This window comes from Homo sapiens, chromosome 4, assembly GCF_000001405.40.
Source record: "Homo sapiens chromosome 4, GRCh38.p14 Primary Assembly".
Lineage (NCBI taxonomy): Eukaryota > Metazoa > Chordata > Mammalia > Primates > Hominidae > Homo > Homo sapiens.
In genome coordinates, this window is record NC_000004.12 from 166429846 (window position 1) to 166436455 (window position 6610).

At 35.0% G+C, this 6610-nt stretch overlaps 1 annotated feature.

The window, feature by feature from the left end:
* Window positions 344–513: an enhancer, noted in NCBI's record as "experimental_75989 CRE fragment used in MPRA reporter constructs". NCBI's record gives its function as "activates a minimal promoter by MPRAs in K562 erythroleukemia cells, with activity observed for both the introgressed and non-introgressed 4:167351426 variant alleles {active_cell/tissue: K562}" and the evidence as "EXISTENCE:reporter gene assay evidence [ECO:0000049][PMID:34662402]".

The following is a 6610-nucleotide window of genomic DNA, read 5'->3' on the forward strand; positions in this document are numbered from 1 at the left end:
GTACAGAACTAAATGTGCAGTAAATGCTAATTAGTATTAGTTATGGTTGCATGAAATACAATAACTTTATTTCCTATACTGTATTTTACATGTTCTTCTCAGTAGTTTGACCTTTTGTGAGAATTCTAAATCTAGTTGTCTTTGTCTGCAAACAAACAAAAAAATAAAACCGTTAAATACCTGATATCTTACCCATATTATCAGAACAATAACACTAAGAGCAATAAGAGGCCCTTAATTGGGCATTATGACAGAACCTGATTAATATTCAAATTCTTCAACCCATCCAATAATATAAGTTCCATAATTACCAACTGTATGTTTTCCCTGTCTCTACTGTAAAGTTTTCTTCTGTTCTATAGTAAATACTATTAAAGAAAGTATAATTTATTCTAAAAATAAAGTTTAGACACAAATTGAATTCATCACACAGAAAGCCAAGACTGTCAAATGGAACACTACATAACACACAGCAATAATTTTAGTCTAGATGTATACTTTTGCAAAATAATTAGCTTATGTAGATGCCTGAACATTTCTATTCCTCCTTTCTCTCATAAGTTGCTAAAATTTTATGGGGTTTTCTATAATAGCCTAATCAATAATAAATAATATAACTAGTGAAGTCCAATATACTTTCATATACATTTATGGAGGCAAGATAATTTGTTTACACAAAATAAAATATAGCACATATATCGATATAACAATATGCCAGTTTTGAATCAGTGCTTCACAAATGCCATAGGAAAAAAATAATCACAACACTTTCAACTTATCTGGTGCTCAAACTCTTCCCAGTTCATGACTAAAGTTATTATCTTTACATTATAATTTTTATTGTTATGGTTCCTCTCTAATTTGGTCTTAAAGTCTTTCTCTTGAGAATGGCCATTAAGCCAACATAGCCATACTCTAGGAGAGCTCTGAAGAGGGGAAATTTAGGTTTGGGTGTGTGTTTCAGGTGAAACACAACGAGGAGATGAAACTAAAATGCATGAAACAGAAGACATTTATTAAGCACAAGTCCCAGAGAGGTTAGGGATGCTGAAGGACGCAGCATCCCTAGCAGCTGAAAGGGAAAGAGAGAGAGAGTGAGAGCGTGAGAAAAGAGAGAGAAAGAAGAACCATGTGGGATAACACCTTTAGGTTCCATGGTTACCCCTTAGGCTTTCCCAAGGGAGATTGTGGATGGGCTATTTTAAAGAAAACACATGAGAAGATGGAACTTATTTGCAAGATTCTATCATAGTTAGCAGCTCTGAGATGTGTTAGGTTTGGGGTTAGTAGGATAAACAGGTGGGCTATATCACAACCAACCAAACTGGGAGGGCAAGTTTTAACTCAGCCAAAGGTGATGGGGTGCTACTGCGTTTCAGACCACTTATATCAGGACTAAAAAGAGATCCCAAGGCAGTAGCAACTGTATTCAACAAATTTTGAACACCTTAATCCTCACATAAGCTCTGTAATTTGGCTGTTGTTACGGTATTGCTATGAGGCTACTGAGACTCAAAGAGTTAAGTAGTTTCCCAAAATCATACAGCAAGTAAAAGGCAAAGTTCAAATTTAAATAAGTGTTTGTCCGAATCCAAATCCCATGCACCTTTTACGATGTAGGAATTTACTCTTTTTCGAGAGAAATTAACACTTCATGCTTTTTCCTTGATTATTTATAAAGGAAAACTCTATACTTCTGTGCTTCCTAATTCCACAGAAGTATGGATAAGAATATGGATAGTGGTGATGCATTTATCTTTAATTAAAACTGACTTTTGACTATCTGGATCTGTCTGATCACTTCACCTTTGTTTCACATTAAGTGAAAGCCTTAGAGTGTTGATTACAGGGGCTTTACCATGCCAAAAAGACAGAAATGCTTCGTATGTTAAAAAATAGAAATTAAATATTGAAGGAGAATTAAGGAAATTAACAAGTGGTGGGTATCAAACAAAAGAAGTCAGGCATTCCTTAGACAAAATAGAGATACCTGCTCTGTTTTGTTTTGATTTAATACAGTTTTCATAGAGGCTTTAAATGGTTAAAACAAAAGGGACAGGAAGCCTGTATCAAAATTGCCAAAAATCTTTACTCCCCACTTCAAAGCCAAAGTCACCTTTAGGCAAAACCCTAGGCTCCTCACCCATCTCTTAAACATGGAATAATAAGGCAATAGTTTCACTTCACCACTGTGTAGCCTTAACTCTATGAACTATGGACTATGAGCTAAACTTACCTGCATTTTGCTGATTATGTTTTGTTTCTGTTACTTCTTGTTACTTCACATCTTTTCACTTGCACTTCTTACTGTTGTCAATCTTGTTAAAACAAATGAGGAGAGTGATAATATAAAAAGTGCAAAATTCTAGTCTCATAAGGGAATTCAATAACTACCAGTTTTCCCCTACTCATTTTGAAATTTCTGTTTCCAAATGCCATGACTAGTATATAGAAAAATGATTGATTGTTTGTATGATGACATCATGTCCTATAACCTTGATAAACTCATTTATTAGAGGTTTTTAATTATTGTTTTCTGTTTGTTTTGTGGTTTTTTTGGTCAATTTCTTGGGATTTTCTACACAAACAATTATGTTGTCCACAGATAGGGGTAATTTTATTTCTTCCTTTCAAATCTTTTCAAAGATAAATTCCTTTTATTTATTTTTTAATTTAATGTCTTTTACTTTATTTAAATGTATTTCATTTCTTTTTAAATTGTATTATATTTTAACTTATTACACAGACTAGGACTCAGTAAGATGTCCAGTTGCAATGATGATAGTGGACATAATTGTTTTGTTCCTAATCCTATGTAGAATTATTCAGTCTTTCTTAAGTATGATGTTAATTGTAGCATTTTGTAGATGCCCTTTATCAAGTTGAGTAATTTCTTTCTCTATCTAGTATGCTAGGGATTTTTATCACAAGTGAGTGTTGGATTTTGTCAAATGCTTTTCTGTCTAAATTGAACAATAATGTGGTTTACTTCTTTAGATCAGGGTTAGTAAACTTCTAGTAAAGAACCAAGTATTTTAGATTTTGTGGGCCATATGGTTTCTGTTGCATCTGACTTTTTTCTTTTAAACAATGCTTAAAAGGTAAACATTATTTTCAGAATGTGATCCACATCAAAATAGTCCATTGGCTTCATTTTACCCTCTGACCAGACTTGGCCAACTTCTGCTTTAGAGTAATTGATAGATGGATTACATCAATTTTTGAATATTGAGTCAGCTTTGCCATCCTGTGACTAACCTCATTTGGTTGTAGTGGAGTTTTACTTTATATATACCCAGATTTTATTTGCTAATATTTTGTTGAAATTTACTTTTTCACCTCTTTTCATGAAAGATATCAGTTTGTAGTCTTTTTGTTTTACTCTGTTAATTTCAGGGTAATTCTGACTTCATAAAATGAGTTTGAATATATTATCTCCTTTATTTTCTGAAGGAGATTCTGGATAATGGGTGTGATGGCTTCTTTAAATGTTTCATAGATTTTCTCAGATATTTCTTTTACAGAATGTTTTGACCTATGATGTAAATTTCTTTAATAGATATAAAGCAGTTTAGCTATTTGTTTTACCTTGTGTAAGTTTTGGTAGTTTGCAGTTTTCAAGAAAACGGTACATTTCATCTAGGTTTTCATACTTGTGTGTTTATAATTTTTCATTACGTTACTTTACTATCCTTTTCATATCTGCAGGGGATAAAATGATATCCTCATTTGTCCCCAATGTTGGTAATTTATATTTTATTTTCATCTTTGTAAATATTGCTTGAGGTATATCAATTTTATTGTCCTTGAAAAGGAGATTACTTTTGGTTTCCTTGATGGTTCTCTATTGTTTTCCTATTTTTAATTTCACTGATTTTTTATTTTACCTTATTTTTTTTTCTTATCCTTGCTTTGAGTTTATATTGTACTTTCTACTTTGACTAAGATAAATTTTGCATCATTCATGTGTAGCTTTTTTTTCCTACTTTTTATTTCTTTTAAGTACTGCTTTAGCTGTATTCCACAAATTTTGTTATACTTCCCTTTTTGTTTAATTCCTAATATTTCCTAATTTATCTCGAGACTTCTTGTTTGACAATGAATTATTCAAATGCATGTAGTTTAATTTTCATATTTTGGAGATTTTCTTATCTTTCTTTCATTGGTTACTAGTTTTATTCCATTATGGTCAGAGAATACATTTTTGTAAGATTTAATTATTTTACATTTGTTAAGATTTGTTTTATGAAGGATAAGTTGTTGTAACTGTTTTCTCCTACAACCGTAAAAGAGGCACACTATCCTAGTGGGCCTCTTTGGGCTGTGGAGGTAACATATTCTTCATTTGGATGTCACTCTCACCTATTTACTACATGACCCAAAAGCCACTTGCTTTGAGTTGGAGCACAGAACAAACAAAGGCTCTGAAACAAGTTCAGGCTGCTGTGTATGCTGGTCTGCAACTTGGGGAATATGATCCAGCAGATCCAATATTTTTTGACATGTCAACAGCAGATAGGGATGTTGTTTAAAGCCTTTGGCAGTCTCCTATAAATGAATACAGTGTAGGCCTTTAGGATTTTGAAGCAAAGCCCTTCCATTCTCTGCAGATAACTTCTCTTATTTTGAGAAACAGGTATGGCTTCCTACTGAGGCTTAGAGACCATGGGCCACTAAATTACCCTGTGACCTGAGCAGCCCAGCATGCACAGGGTATTATCTGACCCGCAAAGCCATAAAGTTGTACATGCACAGCAAGACTCCATCATCAAATGAACATGGTAAATATGTAATTTGTCCTGAGCAAGTCCTGAATAAGTTACATGAAGCAGTCCAAATATCCATGGTCCCCACTCTTGCTATACTGCCCTCCCTCCTCCATCCTGCCCCTCATGGGAGTTTTCTATGGTCATTTGCCAGATCAAAAGAAGACAAACTTGGATTACAGATGGTTCTGTGCTATATGCGGGCATGACCTGCCAGGCTGCATGACAACTACTGCCCCTTTCTGGGATATTTCTATAGGACAGTGGTGAAGGAAATTCTTCCAAGTAGGCAGAATTTAGAACAGTTTTTATTTGCTTGGGAGAATAAATGGTCAGATGTGTGATTATATACTGATTCGTGGACTGTGGCCAATGATTTAACTATACGGTCAAATACTTGGAAAGAACATAATTGGAAAATGTGTGACAAGGAAATCTTGGGAAGAGATGTATAGATAAACCTCTATGAATGGACCAAAAAAAACCTATGAGGATATTTGTGTCCCATGTGAATGTTCACCTCTAACCAGAGGAGGATTTTACTAATCAAATGTATACGTTGACCCATTCTATGGATACCCATTGGTCTCTTTCCCCAGCCGCTACTGTTAACACTCAGTTGGATTGTGAACAAAGTGATCATAGTCACTAGGAGGAAGTTATATGTTGAATAAGCAAGTAGATTTCCACTCGCCAAGACTAACCTAGCTATGGCCACCTCTGAATGCCCAATCTGCCTGCATCAGAAACAAATTCTGAGTTTCCAATCTGGCACCATTTCCTGAAGATATCAGACAGCTACCTGGTTGAAGGCTGATTACAATTGACCACCTCTATCTATCTTATAAGAATAGGATGTTGCTCTTAGTGGAAAAGACACTAACTCCAGATATGGATTCACCTTCCCTGTATGCCATGCTTCTGCCAAAACTACCATCTGTGGACTGACAGAATGCCTTTTCTAATGTCGTGACATTCCACACATAGCATCTGGTCAAGTAGTTCACTTCATAGCAAAAGAAGTGCAGTAATGAGTCCATGCTCATGGAATTTACTGTCTTATCATGTTCCCCACATCCTAAAGAGGAAATAAGTCATTATTTACTGTGCCAGCTAGGGAGTAATACCTTATAGGACTGGTACAAAATTTCCCAGAAGACTATATGCTCTGAATCAGCATGCAATGCACAGTGCTATTTCTCCCATAGCCAGGATTCATGAGTCTAGAAACTAAGAATTGGAAATGGGAGTAGAACCACTCATTGTTATGCCCAGTGACTTACTAGCAACATTTTTGCTTTCTGTTCCCAAAACTTTATGTTCTGCTGACCTAGAAGTCACAGTTCTAAAGGGAGAAATCCATCCGCCAGGAGACACAACAGCAATTTCATTAAATTTGAAATTAAAACTCTTGCTTAGCCACTTTGAGCTCTTTATGTCTCTTATTCAACAGGCAAGCAAAGAGTTACTATGTTTACTGGGGTGATTGTTCCTGATTACTGAGTGGAAATTGGGCTACTACTTCACAATGGAGGTAAAGAAGAGTGTGTTTGGAATATCGGATCTCCCTTAGGGAGTTTCTTTGCGCTACCGTGTCCTGTTATTAGGGTCATTGGAAAATGACAACAACCCAATCCAGCAGGACCATGCATGGCCCAGATCCTTTAGGAATAAACTTTTGCATCACCCCACTTGGTAAAAACCATGATCAGCTCAGATATCTGATGAAGGTAAAGAGAATACAGAATGGATAGTGAAAGAAGATAATTATAAATACCAATTACAGGATGTAACCAGTTGCAGAAATGAGTATTCCTCCTTATTTTGTTATGAATATATTTGTG